This window comes from Homo sapiens, chromosome 12, assembly GCF_000001405.40.
Source record: "Homo sapiens chromosome 12, GRCh38.p14 Primary Assembly".
Classification (NCBI taxonomy): Eukaryota; Metazoa; Chordata; class Mammalia; order Primates; family Hominidae; genus Homo; species Homo sapiens.
In genome coordinates, this window is record NC_000012.12 from 95,969,771 (window position 1) to 95,996,373 (window position 26,603).

Genomic DNA, 26,603 nt, shown 5'->3' on the forward strand with positions numbered 1-26,603 from the left:
TTCGCTCTGTCGCCCAGGCTGGAGTGCAGTGGCGCAATCTCGACTCACTGCAAGCTCCGCCTCCCGGGTTCACGCCATTCTCCTGCCTCAGCCTCCCGTGTAGCTGGGACTACAGGCGCGCGCCACCATGCCCGGCTAATTTTTGTATTTTTAGTAGAGACGGGGTTTCACCGTGTTAGCCAGGGTGGTCTCGATCTCCTGACCTCGTGATCCGCCCGTCTCGGCCTCCCAAAGGGAGAGTCTTTATGTCTAGCTCAGGGATTGTAAATACACCAATCGGCACTCTGTATCTAGCTCAAGGTTTGTAAATACACCAATCAGCACCCTGTGTTTAGCTCAAGGTTTGTGAATGCACCAATCGACACTCTGTATCTAGCTGCTCTGGTGGGGCCTTGGAGAACCTGGGTGTGGAAACTGTATCTAACTAATCTGATGGGGATGTGGAGAACCTTTGTATCTAGCTCAGGGATTGTAAACGCACCAATCAGCGCCCTGACAAAACAGGCCACTAGCCTCTACCAATCAGCAGGATGTGGGTGGGGCCAGATAAGAGAATAAAAGCAGGCTGCCCGAGCCAGCATTGGCAACCCGCTGGGGTCCCCTTCCACACTGTGGAAGCTTTGTTCTTTCGCTCTTTGCAATAAATCTTGTTACTGCTCACTCGTTGGGTCCACGCTGCTTTTATGAGCTGTAACACTCACCACGAAGATCTGCAGCTTCACTCCTGAGCTCAGCAAGACCACGAGCCCACCGGGAGGAACGAACAACTTCAGACGCACCATCTTAAGAGCTGTAACACTCAGCCCGAGGGTCCGCGGCTTCATTCTTGAAGTCAGTGAGACCAAGAACCCACCAATTCCGGACACAATCACAATGGGGTCTCTGGAGCTCTGAACCTCATGCGATTATTTAAGAAGTCTTGAGACAGTGTAGGGGGCACACAGTTGCTGTGTGTGATGGCTCCCCTGTGACCAGTCACCTAGGCACTGAACATTTGGGGCGCAGGAGATACACATAAAAGCCAAAACGGAATGTTAGGTCGAGTCTTCCCTGGAACTCAAGCAACACAAGATTAGATTCTTCTATTGAAGAAACAAGAAGGAGAAGCACATCTGATTTTTCATCTAGGAGGCACTCACTTTAAACAAATAGCATTCATGCCTTTTTTGAAAGAAGACAGAAAAAGACATCTACCCAAACTGCCCTAGTCCTCCCAGGCCAGCGTGCTGCAAGCCCGTGCAACTGACGGAGTTTGCTAGGAATGCAGAACCTCTGGCTGGACCCAGACCTGCTGAGTCCGAATCTGCATGCTAATAAGCCCCGGGTGATTCACATGCACATTAAGGTCTGAGCAGCTCTGAGTTCTAAGCCCTAATCACACCAATCTTCACACTGTTCCTTAGGGGACAGTGAGCTGCTCAGGGCCATGCAATACGGTTCCCTCTGCCCAGAATGCTTTCCTTCTCTTCCTTACATGGGAAACTGGAGCTGGACGCCCTTCCCCACATTCCCACATCTCTATGATAGCCTTTGTAGCATTGTAATTTAACTGTCTTTTGTATGTTAGACTAATGAAGTCTACCCTCTGGGCTGAAACTAATGTTCTCCAACTATTTTTTACATTTACATTTACATTTACAATGTTTACATTTAATAAATTAATACTCTCAACAAAAGTAAGCAAAAAGGCAAAATGAGTTGGGAGCAGTGGCTCACGCCTGTTATCCCAGCACTTTGGGAGGCCAAGATATGTGGATCCCTGGAGGTCAGGAGTTCAAGACCAGCCTGACCAACATGGTGAAACCCCATCTCTACTAAAAATACAAAAATTAGCCGGGTGTGATGGCGCATACCCGTAATTCCAGCTACTCGGTAGGCTGAGGCAGGAGAATTGCTTGAACGCAAGAGGCAGAGGTTTGCAGTGAGCTAAGGTAGCATTATTGCACTACAGCCTGGGTGACAGAGCCGAGACTCCATCTCAAAAAAAAAAAAAAAAAAAAGCAAAATGAACCATAAAGAGAACCATAAAGTTTAATAAAAAGCAATCCAGTGACCAGACCCAAAAATCAGACACAGGTTTAAAGCAGTATGAAATGTATCTGCTTTTGAATTTTGCCGGTTGTAATGACTTTTTTTTCTTTTTCTTTTCTTTTTTTTCTTTCTTTCTTTTTTTTTGAGATGGAGTCTCACTCTGTCACCCAGGCTGGAGTGCAGTGGCACGATCTTGGCTCGCTGCAACCTCTGCCACCCAGGATCAAGCAATTCTCCTGCTTCAGCCTCCCGAGTAGCTGGGATTACAGGCACCTGCCACGGTGCCTGGCTAATTTTTGTAATTTTAGTAGAGACAGGGTTTCACCATCTTGGCCAGGGTGGTTTTGAAATCCTGACCTCGTGATCCACTCACCTTGGCCTCCCAAAGTGCTGGGATTACAGGCATGAGCCACTGCACCCAGCCTGTGATGGGATTTTATGCATGTGGTAGATTGTCAGATACAGGCCCATGGATCACGTCAAATCACATGCCCATGCCCTTGAGTGTTACCCTCCCAAATTGACTCTGGGCCTGGAACGTGACTCGCTTTAGCCAACAGGACATTAGCGAACGTGGCACAACAGGGACTTGAAAAGCCCTTGTTCTTTAGGGTTTGCCTCCTCCAGCTGCCCTGAGACAACTTGTGACAAAGACCAGGTGAGCCTGCGGGGCTGGGGAGGAAATCCTGATACCTCCAACTCTTTTGTTGCTAGCCAATGGGAAAAAGAGTGTACTGAGTCAAGCATATTGTTCTTAAAACGGTTGACATCTGTCAACTGAATCCTTCAGAAGCTTGATTAACTGCTGTTAGAGGCGCTTAACTTTGCTATAAATACCTAAGAATAAAGCGACACCATAAGGCAATTGAGACTTAGTTTATTCCATGTTTCCCTTGAAGTTCCCTTGAAGGCGTGTGCTGTCAGTTACTAATAGAGCTGTGTAGAAAACTCAGTGACAAAGTGTCATTTTGACCTGGAGGGCTGCAGGGGCTGAAAGAATCCAGCATTCCCCAAACTGGAGCGAAGAGCACCATGAGACCACTGGGGGTTACTGGCTCAATGGCAGCCCACGGATGACAATGCACAAACCTCATTTGTGTGTGTTCACATTTTGACAAGGAATAGCACCAAGAACAACCTTTAGGTAAACAGTCTCCTCAGCACATTTTTTGCTCCCTGAATTGCTGTGTGCAGCAGTTTTCACTTCAGTTTCCACCTGACAGGTTGTAAATCTAAAGGGTGAAAACTCTATTGTGAAATCCACTGTTCGGCCCATTTTAGATGGCAATTAGGTAGGCAAGGTGGCAAGTGTGTCTGTCCTCCTCTCCACCAGCTGTGGTTTTTAGAGCCACGGTTTCAGACCACTTGAAGGGCCTTGCACATATATGCACACACTGGTGCAAAGTCACAGAGCTTAGACTTGGGAAGCCAAGAGGTCATGTGACCCATCCTTCATCTGGACAGATACACTTAAGCCATCCCTGAAGGTCCTTTATCTTCTCGGGGAAAAAAATAGATGCAGTAATACACTCTAGGGCTCCATCTGACCTTTATCAATAGGACTTATTTTAATGATTACCATTACAGAAAGGAGGTTGGTTAATCCCCAAAGATTCCTTATCTGTGAAATGAGGAAGGTTACAATAAGAATGTGAATAGAGTACTAACACCAAGGAAGTGAAAATACTAACCTCAAACTCCCATGTAAGCATTTGGGGGATACGTGTAGTGATAAGTACAAAATACACAGTTTAATAAGAGCCACCCAAATAGCAATCTTTATATTCATTCCTTATCTCCTTTGCACATGAAACTCCTTGTTGGTTTTAATCACCTCTACAATTAATAGCTGAAGACCCTATTGACTACTCTTTACTATGATCCAATTAATAGAAGAAAAAAGCAGCTTAAGGACAAATTATGACTTAAAATGGTTATTTATGAAGGCATATTAAGGCATATCATGCAAAGTAAAATTAGCCAAAGAAAGTCAACTGGTGGAGAGCTTGTTGAAGCAAATTTAAAAAAAAAAAAAAAGGTTAACAAAAGTCTAATGTTTTTAGAAAAAATTGCTATCAATCTGTTTCCAAATTTGAATTCATCTAATGCTAAGAGTAAAAAACAGGCACATACAATTGTGGTTATTCTTCTCACCCTTAAGAGTGAGTGGCCTGTTGAAACTGTTAAGAAAGAAAGAAAAGTTTTATAATCTGAAAATACCTGGTGGGTCTTGAACCACGACAACAGGAACACAGTGCTGAATTTAGCAACTATAATACTGCCATCAGCCTAACCAACGTAGGCTTTAGAAGAACTGAATGATACAATGGATTGATCTACCTAGGAAAGTTCTCAGGTCTCTCCTTCAGCCTAGTATTGCTTTGTGCTAAACTGACTGCCCTCTCATCTGCTACTTCATGACAAAGCCCATTAAAGGTCCTCAGACTCCGGGATTTTGGTGGATTTCTTGTGCAGAAATTGCAGTGAAAAGGCTGTTGGAGAAAGAGGTCTTGATTCTGGAATATGCTCCATTCTGTATTTTTCAATGTATGGAGCAGCTACTTCCCAAACCTGAAAAGCAAGGACAAAACAAAGTTGAAATATTGACGACATTGTTTCCACATGCTATTAAACATCAACTTCATCCGAAGTCAAAACATACTCTATACATGACCAGACACAGCTGCTGTTTGCTTGCTTTTATTTTAAGCCATTTGACACATGACCTGTGTCAATTAGTCTTTGGTTGCATTAAAGACTGTAAATATACAAAGTCCAAAACTTTCTAAAGTCATCATAAAGATTTTAAGCTGCATACTTTTCCTAAGCAAAACAAGCAAGCAAATAACAAAACCCAGAGAATTCAGTGTGGATAGAGTGAAGGATAGTTGCTCCAGGGTCTTAACAGTACCTATGTGGTTTTTTTCTTGTTTTTTTGTTTTTTTTCTTTTTTTGTGAGACAGAGTCTCACTCTGTCGCCCAGGCTGGAGTGCAGTAGCATGATCTCAGCTCACTGCAACCTCCACCTTCCAGGTTCAAGCAATTCTTGTGCCTCAGCCTCCTGAGTAGCTGGGATTACAGGTGCATGCCACCAGGCCCAGCTAATTTTTGTATTTTTAGCAGAGATGGGGTTTCACCATGTTGGCCAGGCTGGTCTCGAATTTCTGGCCTCAAGTGATCCACCCACCACAGCTTCCCAAAGTGCTGGGATTACAGGCGTGAGCCACCACACATGGCCTGGACCTGTGTGTTTTCTAAAGCAAGCCTTAAATGGTAAAAGGCAGTGAATTGTATTTCCCTATTGCCTTATTTCCATGCCACAGGTGCTCTGTTCCTTTGACCCTGCTACTCAAAGCGTGGCCTGTGCCCCTGCAGTATCAGCATCACCTGGGACAAGTCAGAATCTTGGCCTTCACCCAGACCTACTGAATCCACACCTGCATTTTAACAAGATGCCCAGCAGATTCATAGCCACTTTAATGTTGGAGAGGCACTGCCTCAGATCCTTGGTTAGCTTTTGCCTCCCACCCACCAACCTCTTTTTTCTTTTTTTTTTTTTTTCTTAAGCATAACATCATCTCAAAGTAAGGCCCTGGACGGGCATGGTGGCATGTGCCTGTAGTCCCAGCTACTCAAGAAGCCAAAGTGGGAGGATCACTTGAGCCCAGGAGTTTGAGTCCAGCCTTGGCAACATAGCAAGACCCGCATCTCTAAAAAAATTTTTTTTTAAATTGAATGAAATTAAGGCCCTGTTTTTGGTTTATATCTGCTTTTTAACTGATTGCCACTGACAGCCAAGGAGCCTTTCCTATTATTTTTTATGACCTTAGCAAATGAATACTCTTAAAGGCTAACCTCTCGTATACCTCCCTCCTAGCACCAAAGTTGGCAGCAGGCAAGCAGCTTCCCCATCCAGAGTGCAGGGCATGCTTAGAAATAATGGGTGTGAAAATCACAGGGAAAAATCACTGCCCCAGAGCAGAGCAACTGTTTTAAGGAAATCAAGCGATTCTAGGGAACATAACACCCACAAGTTATTCAAAAGGTTTAAAGCACTTCAAAAACGATATTTAAAAGATAAGCCAGCATGCTGGGCATCTGTACCTGGCAGCTGAGTATACGGTCAATGTAACCAGTGGAAATATGCAAGAAAGAAAAACCCGCATCTCACCAGAGCACTAGACAGACCGAAAGTCTTCTGAAGTAAACACCCGGGCCTTGGTTTTCTCTCCAGGTCTACGCAGCCATTGCACCCAGTGGTGGTAGTTGTGATAGCATCACCCAGAAGGGAACGCACTTTTGAATCAAAGAGGACATCTTGCAGGGGTGGGGAGGCATCAATGAACCTGACATCTTATTTTTTTCCCCATGAATATTGTCCCAAAACTCCATTTAAAATCCATTTCTGTTTCTAATCCTTAGATATTCAACCGTTGGCTGCACCCTGGTGCACTTAGTGTTTATTATATGGCTTCTTAGTGGTGCTGCAAGTTGTTGCTCAAATACCTTTTTGCTCATTCCCAAGGAATGGCCAGAAAACAATAGAATAAGGCAATGTTTCTCCATCCCCGACTTTGCTTTCCTGTAACAATTAAAAATTAAGAAACAAGCCAAGGAGCCAGCTTGCCTTCTGCTCCAGGAGCAGCCTGTGGGCTGCCTCGATGTCCGGGGCCATGAAGCGATCTTTTATCCAGGGCCTACAGGGAGAGCACATCCGCCCATCAGCCAAACATGAAACCCTGCCAGGGTTCACAGTGCTGAACTGATGTAATTTTCAGAGACCTGTTTGATCTTACCTTACAACAGAGCGCACCAGGTCATAGACCTTCTCCAGCGGAGTGGTTGTTTTCAGGGGACGTAGAAACTCTATGCCCTGGCAGGCTGCAAGGAGCTCGATGGCCAGCACTGAAACAAGAAATTCCAAGAGGGTAGCTTATGAAAGTCTGACTTCATGCTTAAGGAATGTGGATTTCCCAAAGTTGACACCCATCACCACCCAACTAACAGATGGTTTGTTCTCTGTCTATTGGTAGAATGAAGTTGCTTTGGTATTTAGTTGCCATTTTAACCTGTTTTCTAACCCCTTGACTATATCTTTAATGCTGAGAAGGGGAGAATTGAGACATTTACCTGAATAATTACCAGACCTGCACACCTACCCAGGAAGCTGCCCATTCATCTGCACTAGCAAAATCTGCCATGTCCCCCATTCACATCCTCTAACAAAGGTTTGTTGGCCAAGTTTGGGTCATGTGGGTAGGGAAGGAAGTCAGAAAGAAGAGCTGATCCTCATCTTGAGCCCCAGTTCTATTAAATAATTGTATGCATTTCATCAAGATGCTTTACATCTCGTGGTTTCCAATTCCATATGAATTGCGGGGTGGGGATACTGGACTAGAAGATGAGAAATTGCTTCCAGGTCCACCGTGAATTCCACAACTTCATCCTCTCCCACTGTGACCTGTCTGCACTCACTAGAGTTCATAGTGTACTTCATAAATTGAATGTGCTGTTGAATCAAGGTGGGGTGTGAGAGTTCATGGTACTCTTCTCTCCACTTTGAATATGTTTTAAAAGTCTCATTAAAAAAAAAACCACTTTGGGGGTGAGGTGGGAGGATCGCTTGAGGCCAAGAGTTTGAGACCAGCCAAGGCAACACAGCAAGACCCCATCTTTACAAAAAATTTAAAAATTACCCAGGTGTGGTGGTGCTTGCCTGAGGTGTCAGTTACTTAGGAGACTAAGGAAGGAGGATCACTTGAGCCTGGGAGTTCAAGGCTGCAGTGAGCTATTGTTGCAACACTGCACTCCAGCCTGGGTGGCAGATAGAGATCCTGCCTCAAAAAAAAAAAAAAAAAAAGAGAAAAAAAAAGCCAGCCAAAGGACCAGCTTAGTTCTGCATGGTTCCTTGGTTCTTAATCTTTAGTGAAGATCAGAATCACCTGGAGGGTTCGTTAAACACAGATTGCTCCGCTCTCCTCCTGGAGTGTCTGAATTAGCCAGCCTGCAAGGAGGCCTGAGAGTCTGCCTTCCTAACAAGTTTCCAGGTGATGCTGATGTTGCTGGTGGGAGATCCCACTTGAGAACCACGGGCACAGTGGTCTATCAGGCAGGCCCGCCACCCCGAACTCATCAGCATTACCTTGCTCCACATGCTCGATGACCCTGAGGGCTTTCCTTGCTGCCCATCCTCCCATGGAGACGTGGTCCTCCGTGGCTGCGCTGGTGGAGAGGGAGTCAACAGACGAGGGATGGCACAGAGCCTTGTTCTCAGAAACTGCAAGAGACCAGTGCCAGTTAAGAAGTGCTCCTCACAGGATGAGCTGTCTAAAGGACCCGTGGCTTCCACAGAGTGCTCCACAGCATGGGATACACTCTCCAGAAGATCTTGGACATTATCCAAGCACCTGATGGTAGAAAGCTGCTTTGGGAAAAGGAAGCAGGTCATTTTTTTTCCCCAAGTGAGGACTCTAAAGCAATAGTGAGTTCTGAGGTAAGACGGAGATGGGAGAACTGGGAATTCTAATATAACAAGGCCAAGATGACAACCTGGGAAGCATATAGCATGCCAGGGAGACTAGGGGAGAAAGAGACATGATGGCCATTTTCAGGTACTTGACGTCAATTTGGTTGTGTCACCAGAATTCCGATGTGGCATTTGGGGACTGAGGCTGGACCCATAAATCTTGGGCAAGAAGATTTAACACTTCAGAGTGTTCAAGGATGACATAAATGGATGTAAACAGGGGCTCGATGACTGCCAGAAATATCTGGGAGGTGGGGGAATTCTAGGGAGGACCAAGACATGGGACTCTCAAGCTTTCCAGTGCACATGAATCACTCAGGGACCTTGTTATAACAAATATACTGAGCTTTGGGTGGGGCGTGAAATTCTGCTGTTCTAACGAGCTCTCAGGTGATGGCCATATTGTTGGTCTGAGGACTACACTATAAGTAGCAAAAACTTAGGTTATGAAGTTCCCTCACCCTAGCTTAGAAGTCAGGAAAGGTCAGACTCAAAGTCTCTTCTCCTCTTTCTCTGGCTTTAAGAGTGGTCATGGGTGAGGCTTCAGTTGTTTTCTATGCTGCATGGGATCGCATCCTAAGATGATCTCGCTTTAAACTAGGGTCATGCTACTTTGTCAAGGTCATGTTGGTTGGCCAAGGACTTTCCAGGTTTCAGCACTGTAAGTCCCAAGTCCTTGGACCCTAAACTGTGGACTATACAGATAAGTAAACTGTGGTAAGGCTTGTTCGGAAAGATAACTTACAAGGGCCAAAAAAAGAAAAACACTAATTTTACTACAATGAAAGCAAGCCAAACAACCTCAATAGGCAGCTTGGGAAACTAAAACATATTCAAATGAGGCTTCCCAATGTCCATCCTGTTCTCTAGAAATCAATGACTACTCCCCCACTACTACGTTATTGTGAGAAATTTCTACCTGTTAAAGGGGTATTTTATTAATAAGCAAGTAAGCAAATAGAAGATACCGGTCAGAGGAGGTGAATTCAGTGGCTCTTAGTTGGTTATTTGTGTTCGTTGGGAATAATATTAATAGCAACTAGTATTTTTTTAGTGCTTATGATGTGCCAGGCTTTATATACATCAATTCATTTAATCCTCCAAACAACCCCCTTAGGTAAACTGATCTCCATTTTATGCAGGTGTAAATTGAGGATCAACAGGATAAAGAGGCTCACAGAGCTAGTAAATGGCAGAGCTGGGCTTCTGATCTAGCATCTACGCATGTAATAACTCATGCTATCCTGCCTTTTAGGGTAGGGTTGTTAGATAAAGTAAAGGATGCCCAGTTAAATTTTGATTTTAGATTAAAAAAATAATTTTTGTAGTACAAGTATGTCCCAAATAATTCAAATTTAACTAGTCATCCTGTGTTTTTGTTAAATTTGACAACCCTATTTTAGGATTAAGTATTGATTAAAATGAGATCCTCATTAATTGAAGTAAAAGCACATTTTTGCATGCCAAAATTCAGGGTTTGAATTCTGCTTTACATCTTGCTAGCTGTGCAATATTGGGCAAGTCACTTAACTCTCAGATCTTCAGATATTCATCTATAGATAACAATAATAGCACTTACCTCAGGTGACAATTGTGCAATTAAGTGAATGAACATAAATGAGGCCCTTAGTACTTACTTAGTGCCAGGCACTGTTCTGATGTGTTAATCTGTCTCTTACAATCTTGAGTCAGAAATAAACTATATTGAAGCTCAATCTTCACAGAGGGTATCCTGATTCTTATAAGCATTTTTTTAATGTTGCAATAACATCTTTATGTTTTTAGTGGTTGTTATATCTAGTGAAATGAATCCAAAGTTTAATTATAGGTTTAAAAGTTCAAAGTTTAATTATAGGTTGGTTCAAGTTTCACCATTAACTATAACCATCTTAGTCTTTTTCCAATAGTCTTCAAATGGAGATTTGGAAAAAAGCTATAGAGATGAAGTTCATATGCAATGTCAAATTGCTTTCCACAGAGAAATTGTCCATTACAGCCTTATTATTGTATTATTATATTTCAGCATAACAGTATCGAAGTTTTTAAACTATTTTTTTCTGAAAAATATTAGAGTTAACCTGTTACCTTTGCACTGAGAGAACTAGGATGCAGATAAAAGTGGTGAAAAGTTAGATCTCACTCACAGACCACATTTGATACTTCTAGGTGAAATGGAAAGACCCTTAGATGGACGGGCGTGTGTTCTGGGAAAGGGGCAGTGTCCTTACCAAGGGCTGCTGCCGTGCAGTGAGCTATCATGAACCCAGAGTTCAGACCACCTTCAGCCACCAGGAAGGCAGGCAGCTCACTGAGGGAGGGATTGCAGAGCCGCTCGATTCTTCTCTCACTGATTGCAGCAAGTTCATGGATGCCAATGGCCAAGTAGTCTAGGGCCTGAAAGAGGGTCTCCATTTAGTCAGCCTATATTGAAATGTGCCTTCTGGGTCAGGAGCAGTTTTAAAAAGCTTACTTTGGCTGGGTATTCACCATGGAAGTTTCCTCCAGAAACTGTCTCTCCCCTATTGGCAAAGACCATCTTTCAAAAGAGGTTAAGGCTTGAAGATAATGTTTGCTGGTCACTTCAAGTACAACCCCTTCCTGCCTTCTTTTTTAACGTGGAGGTGGCAGTCTGTGTACAAATGTGGGGTGGAGGGAAAGAGACAAGTCTTCCTGCAAGAGATATAAAGGGGCACAAAAGCAAAAAACAAAAAGCCTTAAAGGTGGATCATGTACACCCAATTTGGAGGCTGAAAAAACATGAACCTTGAAATGATGTTTTCTCTTGAGATTAGATTCTAAAGCACCATAACTGTACTAACCTGGTGGTTAGTACCTGCCCTCAAAAGGTTTATAGCCTGAAACTAAAAACAGAGACCAACACATCTGTTTGAAAGCAACTTCTGTTTCTTCAATGGGCACTGCAAATTTGTGTTCCATAGAAGAATCTGTTGAATGGGAAACTCTGCTGATGAGCAACTACCAAAATGTCTGGAACAATCAATTTTGAGAAAATTTTCAAATTCTTTACTCAGTAATCTGGTGTCAGCGTTCAACAGCAGATGGTGGCCAATATGTCCTCATGAATCCATTTTAAGTAGGTGGCAAGTTTAAATTTGCTGAATATTATTACTCTGAGGTAATTCTTTTTTTATTTTCTGTATCATTCTGTCACCCAGGCTGGAGTGCAGGGGCGCCATCTCGGCTCACTGCGACCTCTGCCTCCCGGGTTCAAGTGATTTCTTGTGCCTCAGCCTCCTGAGTAGCTGGGATTACAGGCATGCACCATCACACCCAGTTAAATTTTGTATTTTTAGTAGAGACAGGGTTTTGCCATGTTGGCCAGGCTGGTCTTGGACTCTTGGCCTCAAGTGATCAGCCCACCTTGGCCTCCCAAAGTGCTGGGATTACAGGTGTGAGCCACCAAACCCAGCCTCAGATAATTCTATTCCATCATGCACTTTACTTAAACCAGCAAGCACCCAGGAAAAGGCAGTAACAGATCCTTCTTCCTGGTTCTAAAGAGCTAATCTTTGCCTCTTGGGCTCAAGAATATTCATTACCTATTAACTGAGAACTTGCTGTGTGCAAGAAAGTTTCTAACTTTGAAAGAGTTAGAGATGTATGTGTTACATTAACCTACTCAAGTGTGGATTACTCTGTTCTGCATGTGTAACTGTGAGCCCATTGGGTCTAGCTCCTTGGTCTTGGCCTCTTCTCCATTCTCTGAATCCCTATAGCAATGGAATTCTGCATCAATTTAGAACTTAGACATGTTTTTATTGTCCTCTAGTTGTTCCAAATTTGTTTGTTGGCTATTAGATTAAAACAATTAGAATTTAACTCCCATAATATCCAGCATGTGTGATGGGGCTCCGTATCTGCAACAGAAAATTGAGACACATATTCTTTCAGGTAACAGCAGTATTGCAAGAGAACTCCCAAATATTAGCCTATTGGAAATTTATCAATAATTAGCAATCTTTAATTGAAAAAAATAAAAGACTTTTGGCTGAAATTCTTGCTGAGGCAATTGGTAGCAGAAGAATTTAGTGAGGAATTAATTATCCCCTGCCCCATATTCAGTAATTGAATGGTAATTTCTAAAAACTATGAGATACCCTTTAAAAGCAATGATGTAAATGTAGAATAGATACCTCTTCCCTACAGTGAAAAGACTGGTACGTGAGATAAGACTACATAGAGTTCATAAAAACTACTATTCCATCTGGGGGATGGGGTGGTATTGAGGTGAATGGAGAGACCCACAATTTCTGAGGCTTATTTAGTGTGGGTTTGACTTCAGTGTAAAACAATGTGAGAGAACATAAAACACACATTCTGAAGTAAGCTTGTCAAAAAACACATACATACAAAAGCCATCTCATGGGAAACCTTATGGAGCTATCACATAACCATCTTCTAACTCAGCCTGTGACCTGCTTTTGGGGCTGCTTACTCAGCACTTTCTCTAGGATTCAGAACTGAGGCAGATGTGGAATAGGAAAAATAGATTCCAAAGGCGTTTGATTATCTTCAGAGGCAGTGCTATCTCCATGAAAACTGTGCCAGTGTGACTCCTGACTGATCACCTCAACATCTGGGGAACTGAGCCATCATGGAACATTCCAGAGAAAAACCAGATGGCTCTGAGATAAGCCACACCATTAAGAGAGGACCTCCATCCTTGAGAAATGGAATCAGTTTTACTATTTCTTTGAACAAACGCAAAAGCACTAATTTGAGCAAAGTGCGCATGACAAATAAAAACTCATGATGGGGGCTGGGTGTAGTCGCTCACACCTGTAATCCCGGCACTTTGGGAGGCCGAGGCAGGTGGATCACTTGAGGTCAGGAGTTTGAGACCAGCCTGGCCAACACAGCAAAACCCTGTCTCTACTAAAAATACAAATATTAGCCAGGCCTGCTGGCACATGCCTGTAATTCCAGCTACTCAGGAGGCTGAGGCAGGAGAATCGCTTGAACCCGTGAGGCAGAGGTTGCAGAGAGCCGAGATGGCACCACTGCACTCCAGCCTAGGAGACAGAGTGAGACTCCGTCTAAAAATAAACAAAAAAAAAAATGCCAAAAACCTCAGGATGAGGAAGCCATAACTCTTTAATCAATACTTTGGTAAGTGTTAAAAGGCTGACCTCTGCATAATGCAAACTGCTCTCACTCAAAGCAGAGAGGCCTGCATAAATTGTTCAGCATTTCTGCAATCACATTTGTGACCCACGTCTTCACCCTTCCACCAACAACCTTGGCAGTGGGTTTTAGGGCCAGTGTCTTCAGGAAACATGTCAGCCAATGCTGGAAATATCTTCTTAAATCTTGAATAGGTCCATTTTGAAAGTACAGCATGTTAGACTTGGAACCTGAGAGTAAGTTCACAGGTCACCTCTGCCACTTACCAGCTCTGACCTGGAGAAAGTCAGTTAACCTCTGAGCCTCAGGTACTGATTCATTTACTCTGTGAAATGGAGCAATGGAACTGAGAAGCTACACAAAATGATTGTTTCAGTAGATCCTAAAATTACCAGCTGCAATTCTATAATTGCAGGTTAGTATACAATCAAAAGATACAGGATTATCTGTTGCGCTGTTCAGTTCTGTGGTAATGATGTTCTTCACAAATGCTATTGTATCATTCACCACACCATGGACCTAAAATACAATCAAAATAAGGTATATGACCCATTTGATTACCTGAAGAGTACCAATATTCTTAAAAGAATATAGAAGATCTTATCTTAAAGTTATAAAGAATACAGAAGATCTTATTTTAAAGTTATAACCATGGAAATTATTTGAACTGAAGATAATTTTGTTATAATTCTTTTGGGTTTTCACTGAAACAAATTAGAATAAATTCATTATCATATATATTCACATTAGATCAATCTATACAAAGCAGCATGGTGTGGGAGGAAGAATGCCAACTCTAGACACAGGCAGATTCACTCCCAGGTTAGTGGTAGGACTTGGGCAAGTTCCTTAGGTTTATAGTTAAAAGATAGGAAGACTTAGAAAAGAGACAATAGCACTTATGGCTTTTGAGAAGTACATAAAATAATGCAAACAAATTCTTAGATGTGACTCGCAGAGATTACTCAAATGGTAGCTATTATCCAAGGCGGTAAAGTTCATTAAGCACGAAGGCATCACATTAGAAGATGCTCACACATAAGGCAGCTACGCTGTACAAACCCCAGAAATAGCCACAATGCTATAAAGCAGCACCTGGCTCTGGTTTCTCCCAGAAGTCAAGGAAGTAATTATCTGTCTGTGTGATCGTGGGCAAGATACTTAATTCTGTGCCTCAGTTTCCCCATTGCAAAATGGGAGAAAGAGTATCTTATAGTTGGGAAGATTAAATGAATTAATAAATGAAAGACAGTGATAATGGTGCCTGTCACATAGAATCTGCTATCGTTATTAAAATATCAGGGAAGTCTTACATCAGGACTTAATCTTCCTGTAGATCTAATTTGGCAATTCTTACCCATAGGTGTTTTGATCTATTGCTCAATAAGCTAGCTAGAAAAGATAACTTGCTGACTAAAGGGAAATGAGGGTATTTATTCTAGGGAGGACTCTCTATTACACCATAGACTGAAATTTGGCACAGACCAAAATATGGTTTATTGAGATGACTGGCTCTCTAACTGTCATATGTAAATTACACATCTGTAATACAGATGCCTAATGCCAACCCAGGTCATCTGCATTTTTAATTTAAAGTTAAGCATCACAAATTCATTTAAAATAATTTATATTGCCCATAAAATGCAAGTAAGGTATAACCATTACTATGCACCTGAGTTTCAAAATGATATAATTAAGACTTTCCTGTAAACACCTCTGACTATCTGGTTAAAGTTTCATCTTAACAGGGAGAAACAGTACAACTCTACTAACTGGTTATGATTTTATTACTAAGAATTTTTAAAAGTTAGGGCACTGAATCAACATAAGAGGTTGTCTGGGCCGGGGACGGTCCTCACGCCTGTAATCCCAGCACTTTGGGAGGCTGAGGCAGGTGGATCATTTGAGGTCAGGGGTTCGAGACCAGCTTGGCCAACATGGTGAGACCCCATCTCTACTAAAAATACAAAAATTAGGCATGGTGGCACATGCCTGTAATCCCATCTACTCGGGAGGTTGAGGCAGGAGAATCACTTGAACCTGGGAGGTGAAGATTGTAGTGAACAGAGATCATGCCACTGTACTCCAGCCAGGGTGACAGAGTGAGACTCTGTCTCCAAATCAAAGAGGTTATTTGTTGGTTGTCTGTCTCAAAAAAAAAAAAAAAAAAAAAAAGAGGTTGTCCTCTGAAAGTAGGTTGAACAATCAAAAGAAAACAAATAGTTCACCATATAGAATAGAAACTTTACAACAATTGCACACATAAAGGTAAAATATACATAACTTTTCATAGAGACAGTAAGAAATTTGGACTATAGTTGACCATTACATGTTTTTCTAACACTTTCCTATTTTAAAATTTTTCATCCTGAACCTGGGGAAAGAAAAACTTTATTGGCATTTTTTATTGACCTTTTTTTTTTTCTTTATTTTACCTGTGGACAGCAGCGCAAGGTGTATGCATCCTGGACGCGATCACAGAACCTGTGACTCTCTGTGGAAGAGGTGGAGGGGATGAGACAGGGATCATGTTACCAATTCTTTTCACAAAACACGTAACCAAATAGGTCACTCCCATAAACATGGTCAGACCTGCTATTTCTGATGGGTGGTGATCTGAGTCCAAGAGTGACCGAAACCGAAAAGCAACTTCAATTTGCCCACGGTGAGGTCGAAGAGCATGAATGTCTAGAATTGATGAAGGAGAAAAAGTCTGAATAATTCCATTTATTTATTTTTTTTAAAGATGGGGGTCTCACTACGTTCCCCAGGCTGGTTTCAAACTCCTGGGCTCTAGCGATCCTCCTACCTTGGCCTCCCAAAGTGCTGGGATTACAGGCATGAGCCACCATGCCAGGTCGAGTAATTCTGATATTAGAACAAATGACCATCAATGGTTCAGGACCATCTACGGTGCTGACACAGCCCTCAAAAGTCCCAGGGGTCCTTAGCCACCACTCAGAATTAGAAACTTAACTCCGAAAGCACGATTTTCCTTATTGACTTGACTCCTTCTACTTTAAATATCTGAGAGCAAACTATATGTTGAGACCACTGGGAATTCCACTCAAGACACTGGGCCTACCTTAAAGGAACAGGGCGAATAACAGGAGGGAGCCCTACAGTGGCCTAATTTAACTCATTCACTTTTAGACAATGTTCTGCCCTTTTTCATATTATAGTTGGGAGGTCGTCAAAATTCACTACTTTCTAAATAAGCTACCAATTCGACAGTTTTTCTTCCCCAATTTTCTAGTCGGGACCAACTCTAATCCTACTCCTTTTTACAGGACTCCTAAGTCCTGTAAAAAGATTCCTAAGACAGCACAGAGCTTGACACACCCAGATCCCTGGGTGCTCTCAGGCAAGTCACTCAACTTCCGGGCTGTGTGTATCTGTAAATTGCAGTTCTTTCAAAGATCAGTTGTGCCATAGCCTAGATGAAGAGGCAGCACACTGGGTACGCCACAGGCACTTGGGTTTTCTCCTTCCCTACTACCTGCCCCCACCACTTCTGTGTCTAAAGATCTCAGCCACCCCGCCCCACCACCTCTGGTTGAATGAATAACAACCAAAAGGAAGAACCCTGCTGACCAGTGTCAAAGGCTTTGGTGGTGCCCTTCAGCACCTCAAGGGTCAGGGCTGCCACAATGTCAGCCTGCCGTGCAATAGCACTGGCTCGCTCTACAGCTTCACAGCCCAGGGATGTGATCATCTGCGTCCCATTGATGAGTGCCAGGCCCTGTCGGGGGAGAGAGCAAAGTTTCCTACTGTGATTATTGTAACGAACCTACATACCCGTGGATTTTGTATCTTTTGCTTTCATAAGAGAAAAATTAGCCAGTCATAAACATAAAAAATTATGTTTATGTTTTCTAAAGTGCGGGACAGTAATGTTTATTTAAGCCCTTGAAGAATAAGTGCTATCATATGTGAACTCGTAAGCACAAATCTGGCAAATGAAACACTCATTAAGTATCCACATTCCCAAAGCAGCAATGCAGCTCTGGAGTGTAGACTGCACATAAAATCTTTAGTGCATTAGGTTGCATTTCTTCCTTAAATTCTTACTGTTATAGATGAGACATCCAAAAAAACCCAATTCTGGTCCAAGACTCTTAGCTTAGAGCATTCTAAGGAATTTGGGCTGAGAACATCTATCTCTCAGAGATCCTAACAGAACTCGATTTGAAGTTTTAAGTTCCTAAGAGACCCCCTATGCATTGTGGCATGAAGAATCTTTTTTTCTTTTTTGAGACAGGGTCTTACTGTGTTGCTCAGGCTGGTGTGCAGTGGTGCGATCATGGCTCCCTGCAGCCTTGACCTCCAGGGCTCAAGTGATCCTCCCACCTTAGCCTCCAGGGTAGCTGGGATTACAAGTGTGCGCCACCATGCCTGGCTAATTTTTGTCTTTTTTGGCGGGGCGGGGGGGGCGGGTAGAGATGGGTTTCACCATGTTGCCCAGGCTGGTCTCAAACTCCTGAGCTCAGGCAATCCACCTGTCTCGGCTTCCCAAAGTGCTAGGATTACAGGCATCCGCCACCATGCCTGGCATAAAGAATCTTTTAAATTCTTACGGAGTTGCCCCTTCTTCAGGGATGAACTTTAAGCAAACATGCAAGTTGCATTTAAGGAATGATTGAGGCTGAGATTAAAACTGAAAATACTGCATAAATAAAAACTCATGCACTATGAACATATTTTTCTTGAGTTTCCTTACCTCTTTTGGTTTTAAAATAACTGGTTTCAATCCATGGGCTTCTAGCACCTATAGAATGATTAAAAATATGAAAATGGGTATCAAATGAAATACTAGCCTATTTCCAATATCATATGGAATCCAATAATAGCTCTTTATGCCCAAAAGTCCATCTTATAAGAAATGAGACCTACAGGAACTGGCTGTATTCATGTTCTCTGGTCTATTCTCTAGTTCTGTTCTTTAGTCATGAAAGCAGACTTATCTTTCAATTAATTTTTGTACTGAAATCAGGGGCTCCATTGTCTATAGAATCAACCCTAAATTTTGGTTTCTACGTCCTTCGTGTTCAGTTTCTACCTTAGCAGTTCACCTTTTTTACCACTGCCTCCTGACATGCAGGCATCTGACACACATACATGCATCTGTGTTGTGCTCAGGCTGGACTCCTCCCAGTTCACGCTCCCTTGCCTCCAGAGCTTGACCTAAAAAGTCCTCTAACCTCATTAGTGCTTCATTTAAATACTGGCAAAACCTCAGAGCAGGGTTTTTGTGGCACATGTGTGAGCACCAATGAAGAGGGGATTATAAAATTCCCTCTACTAGATGGAGACAGAATCCCGAGGGGGCGATGGGCAGAACAATCTTCCCTTGAAAGAAAAGAAGTAGAGAGTCATTAAGTTAAGGTCTCTCTAGGAAAGAAGGAAGGGGAAGTTAAGGTAAGAGAAGGACAGAGCTGGTCCCATTTACTACGTCAATTTCACAGATTCAAGTATCAGCTAGAGGCTGGATTCTGTTCTGGGTGTTGGGGTCGGTCTAGGAGTAGGCAAAATGAAGACAGGCAAGCTCAGGGCAATCTGAGTAATAGTACATTCAGTGCTTGAGGATGTGGGAAGTGGGTGGGGTGCAGTGGAAAACAATCATTTGCTAGGAGAGCATACAGGAGGGTCACAAGGAACTCGAGAGGTAGGAAGTGGAGCAGCGGAGACGGAAGCTTCTTAGAGGGCTTTTCTATTTTTCTTTTTATTTTTTAGACACCTGTCTCTGTAACCCAGGCTAGAGCGAGCACAGTGGTGCAATCCTAGCTCACTGCAGCCTTGAACTCCTGGGCTCAAGTGATCCTCAGCCTCCTGAGTAGCTGGGACTACAGGCACATGCTACTGTGCCAGGATAATTTTTTAATTATTTTATGTAGAGGCGGAGCCTCGCTTTCTTGCCCAGGCTGGTCTTGAACTTCTGGCTTCAAAAGATCCCTAGAAGATGTTTCAGAAGCAGAAATAGGAGAGAGAAGAACGTATTTGTACCAGACCCTCTGCCCAGAACATTCCTTCTCCAAGCAACCTCCAGTTTCTGCAATGCAGAACCACACATAGAAGGGATTAGGGGCTAATGTGACAAACAAGACCCTTGAAAGCCACTTTAAGTTTAGCCTTTATCCTGAGGACAATGGGAAGCATTACAAGTTTTCACCAGAACATGCTTGAATTTGCTGTTTAGAAAGGTCAGGGTGATTGCTGTATGAGGGTGGTCGGAGGAAAACGCTGTCCATAGTGAAATAATCAAAGACAAGCCTGCACGGAAGACAGATGATCTAGAAGCTGCATCCCCAAAAGGATTATCTATTTCCTTAGCTGTTTCCTCTTCTGGGGCCCTCTACCCCTTTCACTTACTATCAGGGAAGCTCCCAGCAGTTCATCAGGGATGATACATTAAATGATGCTTTATGCTGCTGTAATGAAATTCAGACACAGATGAAGAAAACACCAAAGCTTTATCAAAAACAGGCTTTTTTGATTAGCCACTAGGGTAAGAGCTTAGGGAAAAATGAAACCTGCTTTCCAGAAGCCATATAGTAAGTGCTATGAGCCATACCACTGCACCTGTGAGACCAGCTCGTAATTAAAATTGTGAGAGTGTGTGACCTCCCTGCTAGGCACTGGAAATGTTGTAGGTGCAGGATAAATAGTTGGGATTAACAGTAGCAGTTATGCCTTTTCACCAAGGTGATGACCAAACCCAGAAGGCTGACAGCCGAGTATAGAAGCTAACAACAGTCTTGCCTAGTCTGACTTCTAAGCTTTCGCTGTCTCATCTGTAAAGTAAGGATAGTAGGAGCTCCCTCACTGGGCTGTTGTAAGGACTAGGTGATACGAAGCATGCAAGCACAGTTGGTGTCCAACCTGGGGCAATTGCTGCAGATAGAAGCTGCTACGAGTCTTACGTATTTAGCATCAGCCCAGCCACTCTTCGGAGACCACATCTTCCCTTCTCCAACTAGCCCAAGAGCAAGATGAGAGAGTGGGGCAAGGTCTCCACTGGCACCAACGGTTCCTTTCTCTGGGACATAGGGCAGGCAGGAGGCTGGGAGAGAAGTAGGCAGCAATTAGTTCAAGAGTACTGCATTCTGACTCTCCTTGCTTTGCCAGTGAGTGCCCCCACTGCCCCCGCAAACACCCTGCCTCCAATATCTATCACTTTATGGCATAGATACCTGGGGAAAGACAATTCTTCAAACCCAGCTAATATGTAAGGGACCTGGATGAATTGTTATAGAAAGAAAAAGAGGAGTGGGGGTGGAGAGGAAGAAGAGAGAAAGGTAAAGAGGAGACAGGGAGGAAAGGAGGGCTGGAGGGAAAGTCAGCAAGAAGGAAAGAAGGGCCAGGCGCAGTGGCTCAAGCCTGTAATCCCAGCACTTTGGGAGGCCGAGGCGGGCATATCACTTGAGCCCAGGAGTTCAAGACCAGCCTGGGCAACACGGTGAAACCCTGTCTCTGCAAAACATACAAAAATTAGCCAAGTATGGTGGTGCATGCCTGTAGTCCCAACTACTGGGAAGGCTGAGATGGGAGAATCACTTGAACCCGTGAGGTGGAGGTTGCAGTGAGCCGAGATTGTGCCACTGCACTCCAGCCTGGGTGACAAAGCAGGATCCTGTCTCCTAAATAAATAAGAAGAAGGAAGGAGGACACTTCTGGATGCAAAGCCCTCAAAATCTGTGTGCTCTAATTCAACCTAGTACTTCCACTTGTAGAAATTTTAGCAATATATCTTGAAGAAGTGATCAGGAACTAGCTGTTTTTTTTTGTTTTTGTTTTTGTTTTACAGTTCATTGTTTATTATAGGAAAAATAGTTAGAAATTATCTAAATATGAAATTAAAGGACATTCATTTGACCAAGTTTAGCCATTCACAGCTATTGGAAAATGTTTGGAAACATTGGAAAAGTAATATAAAATGTTCCAGAAGGAGGTGGTGCACCAAAGCATTAACAAGGTTTCCCAGGGGAAGAGAAGTCATAGGCAACTGAGTCTTTTCATTTTGCCAGTCACCCAGTCTACACTCCACTGCCCCTTATCAATGAACACGTGCCATTTTCTAAGAAATTCCCAAAAAGTTACCAAAAAAGAGGCTTCATTTTTCTGAAATAAAATCAGATTCCTGACAGCAGCATTTTTTCCAACTGTTAAATAATGTCAGTCGGGTATGGCAGTGCCATCCACAGACCAACTTCTGGCTGATAGTTCACGCTGGGGAATTCTCAGAGGTGCCTTAGACTCCCCCATAAAGTACAGGTGGGTTTAAGGTTGGAGTGCTACTATCTGGGATTTTAGGGCTATATAGTATGGCAGACCAAGGTAGGAGTAAAAATAGGTGTTGGAATCACTACTAGTCTGTTCAGCACAGCCCTGTATATACAATAGACTGCTCATTGAAATTGCTCTCCACTCATTGGCAGATCCTATTCACGTGCCACTTGCGTCCATAACATGGAAACTCAAGAATGTGTTTTGCTGTTTGTGACTGCCTCAGCACTGCTTCTCCTCCCTCTCCTTCCCCTCAAAGAGTTCTGAGTCTCCACTGACCTAGAAGGCTTGTCCTTACCTGTGAGAAGGGACAATACCTCCAATCACTGCAAATCTGGTTTCCACATTAGAATTTTCCTATCCAAGAAGAAAGCTCCAGAGTTGAGTTCCCTCATATCCTGCCACTACATGGCTTCTTGATTACAAGGGAGTCATTAACCTCTTTGCATTTCTGTTCTACCCTTGCAAGAAGTTGGATTTTAGTGTGCAAGTCTGGCCATCACCTGGGGGACATTACGATTTCAGATTCCCAGGCACCAACCAGAACTACTGAATTGGCCTTTGGGATGGACATTGATATCATGCAATTTTTCTAACCATATTCATGTACCACTTAATCCAAGTTTCTTCTAGGCAGGCTTGAATGTAAGGGCAGACTTAAGAGTCCTGTTCTAGTCTTGAAGATGACAAATGCTAGGGAAAGGGTCTTGCAGAATAAGTTAAAGTTCATAGGAGTAAGCATCTCTGATCGACTTTCTCCTCTTCCCCCATCTAACTATCCTACTTTTTGCCAACGGCATTTCCCACTCATTTCAATTATTTCATGTCTTCTCAGGTGATTCCTCAGCATCTGGCCAATCAATTCTACCCTGTGGTACATGTCCAGCCTCCACAGAGGTTCCGTCTAGGGAGCCATTGCATTACCATTAAACATTTCTATGACTTGTTTGAGGGTCTCCAGGGAAATGCCACTGTATCCTTTGGCTAAGACATTGATCCTTAAAGCCAAGAGCATCCGACACCTCTCAGGACTTAGTGGTTTCCCAACACCTGCAAAACAGAATTGATGTTTTCTCCAAGAAAAGCAAACTCCTTTTTGTCTCCTGACAATTGCCCTCCCTCCCTCCAATCTTTCCCATATGTAGCCCAGCCTGCTATTACCTTCTCCTCTCGGCTCAGGTAGTTGGACTACTCTCCCTCCTGCCTGTCTGACTTGTCTGAGCCCCATCTTCCTGACAAAGGTTAAGACCCCAGTTTTGCCTTCTCAATTCCCCTTTTTGGGAAGCTTCAGTGAACCCCTGACCTCCCACTCACCTTTAGAATAGCATCCAGAGTCCTTAGCACAACTTCTTTACCATCTGATGGGTGCTGATTGGTGACAGTCTTTCCCATCTCACTATGCCCATCCTAACTCATTCTTTGAGTTCCAGGCTTTATTTCCTTCCCTGAATGCAACAGTGTCTCCATGGCATGGGACATGTGTTCTCATACCAACCCCATCCCTCCACCTGGCCCATTTCTTTTTCTGAGGCTCAGCTGATTCTTTCTGCATCCCTTCTCACCTCGGCACCTAGTTCTTGAAATGCTGTTTTGAGAAACTAGCTTTTTGTGACTATAACTGGATAACTCACACTGTGCTGTGCTTTATTCATCTAATCACACAAGATCCAGGAGGCACCCAACGTTTTGACTTACCTGAAGAATGTGAGCGTACTAAGTTGACCTGAAGCTCCCTGCAACAGAAAGGTAAAAACCCTCTTAGATACATTGCAGTGAGAAAATGTTCCCTCAGCTGGGAAAATGAAGGGAATCATGGTCAAATCCTTGGAGGGACAGAAGGAAGGCAATGGGAGAAACCAGCCAGCCTGGGTTTTCAATACCAACTCACATGCAAGGTAACCCAAGCCTCATCCTCTGATCTGTAAATTGGGGCAAATGTGAATTATTTCCCTTGTTGAAAAATATTTAAAAGATGAGGGTAGGTGGAACGTGAACATATGTGTGTTTTAAACTTACTGTAGCTTATTGATAGGAATTACAGTTCTGGCAAATTTCCCAAAACCTGTAGTAATACCGTAAACAACTAGAATAAAAAGAGACATTATGCAATTAAATGCAGGGATTTTTGTTTGTTTATAAAAATATTTATAACATAAAGATAAAAAGATACCTGTTTTCTCTTTTATGATGCTATCTATGACCTCCCTGGATTTCTGCACCCTCTTCTCAGCTGTTGGGGTGAGCTAGGAAAATGTTGATCAGAACTGAGCACGTTAAAGACTTCCACGGGCAACAAAAATGGCCAGAGGACATCTTTCCCCTCCCTCCCCATACCTTTATTTTGTAGCGTCCCTTTCCCAAGTTGACCAGATCCTCCGTGGTCAGACGGTCTCCATCTAACTCGATGTACTACACAAAAGAAGGGGATCTCAGTGAGTCTGAACAGCTTGATTATTCTAACCAGAGTAGGGACACCTCCAACAGAACCAAACTGACATTTCAGAGATCTGATCATTGCGTGAAACATGAATATGCTAAATAAAAATGCATCTTGCATAAGAGGAGGCTTATTGGTGCAAAAGCATAATGCCTTTCCAAGCCCCCTTTCCCCACTACAGAGCTGGATAAAGCCCTGTGGTTGGTTGGTTTGTTTGTTTTGAGGCAGAGTCTCCAGCCCAGGCTGGAGTGCAGTGGTACAAACATGGCTCACTGCAACCTCTGCCTCCTGGGTTCAAGCAATTCTCGTGCCTCAGGCTCCTGAGTAGCTGGTATTACAGGTGCACGCCACCATACCTGGCTAATTTTTGTACTTTTAGTAGAGATGGGGTTTCACCATGTTGGCCAGGCTGGTTTCAAACTGATGACCTCAAGTGAACTGCCCACCTCGGCCACCCAAAGTGCTGGGACTACAGACATGAGTCACTGCTCCCGGCCAGCCCTGTTCTAATTGACAGTGTTTTCTCAGAAGTTTTCCTGGCTTTCCTCCCTCTTAAATAAGGGGCCTTAATTTTCTGAAGAAAAAGAAAGTGGTTTGAAGCTTACCTTTTCAGGCTCCCGGTACTTGCTGTATCTGTATCCAGGTAAAGGAACATATAGGGTGGTGTGGAAAAACCCCCAGCCCCACCATCTGCAGGAGCCACCCCCAGAGCAGACCAAAGAGCCTGTGGGAAAGGATACAGATAAACTCCTTCTGGTTGAGATGGAATGAAGTCAGGAGACATGGCATCACCCTCTATAACTAAAACAATGCACGGGAGACTCGTTACAGATCACATTGTACAGCCATGTTCCCCCTGTTAAACCAAGGAACGGCCCATCATTGGCCCATGAATTCTATAGAAATGGCTGCTTTAAAACTGCTTCAGATGGTTTCATGTGGTCTTAGCATCTTTATGTAGGAGGAGAGCAAAAAGCAGAAAGGTAGGTGTCAGGGCAGAGACCAGGGGTTTAGATGAAAGTTCAAGACAGAATTCCACTTCCATCCCCATTCCCAGCTTTATTTTCTTCAAAATCTGAACTGATGCTATGCTGCCGGCCTCCAGTCTGGGGGTGGGGGTGGATTCTTTCGAAAGGCAAAATAACCTCAAAATGATTCAGTCACTGCAAAGGGATTCAGACCTGCAGCCTTGAGTACCAGTCTAGTCTTTGTTACTTACTAGCTGCTGGAGTCTGGGTAAGTTACCTCCTCTCTGATTTCTCCTCCATCAGAGGTGGAGGAGAATCCTACCCATCTCACAGGGTTGTGTGAGGACTTAAGATCCCCAGAGGCGTGGCATGTGCCTGCACAGGGCCAGCCTCGGCAAGCCTGACCTCTGCTCATCATTTTCCCTGAGGTGGGGGTTCAATGCTGCAAAGACTAAGCCAGGCCAAACCGCACCCGTTCGCGGCCCTCTCCTGCAGCCACTCACCCACTTCCACGAACTCGTTGTTCTCTAGGGCCACCTCGAGCCGGTCCTCGTTGTCCAGCAGGCCCAGGCCCTTGCACCGGCGCACAAGGAAGTGCGCGTCATCCACGGAGGTGAAGCCACCATTGTCGGGCTTATTCTTGATATAGCGCCTCACGGCCTCCCGGCCCAGCCAGCCCACAGTGAGCTGCGCGTCCTGGCAGGGCACTGCCAGCCATTCCCCACGTACGTGCACCGTGTATCTGGGCATGGCTCCGCTGCAGCCTGAGGTCCTCAGCTGGTCACAGGAGGGGAGAGCTTTATGCAGGAGTGGCTACCGGGGTGTGGTCAGCTGGAAGGATGAGAATAGACTTTCAAACCACTCCCCCTCCTTCACCTTTACTCATTCATGCATTGGACAAATATTTATTGAGGTACCTGCTGTCCCTTTGGTTTTTGTAGCCGAGCAGGGGCAGGAGCAGGGGATGCAGACGGGTGAGCCTCCTGTCCACTTTCCATCCAGACCTGCTGCCAGAAAGGCCTGGGGTCTCCCACCCTGGGAGGTGCTGTTCTTGTCCCTGATGGCACCTACCTGCTGCTGGCCCCCTTTCTTCAGGGTCCCCAATTTCTCTCTCTTCCCTCGTTTCTGTCTGTGTTCTCTGCCATTAAGGGCAGCTTATAAACACCATGTTCCTGTCTTTATCTGAGATTACTCAACTGTAAAACGTGTTCTG

The 26,603-nt window shown here is 43.9% G+C and overlaps 1 protein-coding gene across 5 annotated transcripts, besides 5 other annotated features; it reads right to left on the minus strand.

Moving 5' to 3' along the window:
- Positions 335 to 980: an enhancer, noted in NCBI's record as "H3K27ac hESC enhancer chr12:96363883-96364528 (GRCh37/hg19 assembly coordinates)". NCBI's record gives its function as "activates a minimal SCP1, AML or CMV promoter by ChIP-STARR-seq in primed H9 embryonic stem cells {active_cell/tissue: H9 hESC(primed)}" and the evidence as "EXISTENCE:reporter gene assay evidence [ECO:0000049][PMID:30033119]".
- Positions 981 to 1,626: an enhancer, noted in NCBI's record as "OCT4-NANOG-H3K27ac hESC enhancer chr12:96364529-96365174 (GRCh37/hg19 assembly coordinates)". NCBI's record gives its function as "activates a minimal SCP1, AML or CMV promoter by ChIP-STARR-seq in naive H9 embryonic stem cells {active_cell/tissue: H9 hESC(naive)}" and the evidence as "EXISTENCE:reporter gene assay evidence [ECO:0000049][PMID:30033119]".
- HAL (histidine ammonia-lyase) lies at positions 2,892 to 26,574 on the minus strand. Of its 5 annotated transcripts, NM_002108.4 has the most exons (21): positions 26,308 to 26,574; positions 25,894 to 26,221; positions 25,163 to 25,223; positions 25,028 to 25,055; positions 24,320 to 24,394; positions 24,156 to 24,228; positions 24,002 to 24,068; positions 23,681 to 23,718; positions 22,910 to 23,035; positions 20,623 to 20,762; positions 18,423 to 18,470; positions 17,297 to 17,444; positions 16,295 to 16,390; positions 16,138 to 16,196; positions 14,141 to 14,221; positions 11,028 to 11,093; positions 10,786 to 10,951; positions 8,174 to 8,308; positions 6,828 to 6,936; positions 6,659 to 6,728; positions 2,892 to 4,602 (listed from the first exon to the last, which is right to left on the minus strand). In NM_002108.4, the coding sequence occupies exons 2-21, from the start codon at positions 26,138 to 26,140 to the stop codon at positions 4,462 to 4,464; spliced, it is 1,974 nt and encodes a 657-aa protein (NP_002099.1). In that variant the 5' UTR covers positions 26,141 to 26,221; positions 26,308 to 26,574; the 3' UTR covers positions 2,892 to 4,461. The 5 variants fall into 5 exon arrangements, with proteins under 5 accessions (NP_002099.1, NP_001245262.1, NP_001245263.1 ...); NM_001258333.2 differs by lacking the exon at positions 24,002 to 24,068; NM_001258334.2 differs by lacking the exon at positions 6,659 to 6,728.
- Positions 12,700 to 12,869: an enhancer, noted in NCBI's record as "experimental_31139 CRE fragment used in MPRA reporter constructs". NCBI's record gives its function as "activates a minimal promoter by MPRAs in K562 erythroleukemia cells, with activity observed for the non-introgressed 12:96376333 variant allele {active_cell/tissue: K562}" and the evidence as "EXISTENCE:reporter gene assay evidence [ECO:0000049][PMID:34662402]".
- Positions 16,186 to 16,330: an enhancer, noted in NCBI's record as "145 bp 12:96379806 sequence used in MPRA reporter constructs". NCBI's record gives its function as "activates a minimal TATA-containing promoter with rs3213737 allelic activity by MPRAs in C283T melanocytes {active_cell/tissue: C283T}" and the evidence as "EXISTENCE:reporter gene assay evidence [ECO:0000049][PMID:36423637]".
- Position 16,258: a transcriptional cis regulatory region, noted in NCBI's record as "rs3213737 or 12:96379806 MPRA-significant variant associated with a GWAS melanoma risk locus at 12q23.1". NCBI's record gives its function as "allelic transcriptional activity by MPRAs in C283T melanocytes {active_cell/tissue: C283T}" and the evidence as "EXISTENCE:reporter gene assay evidence [ECO:0000049][PMID:36423637]".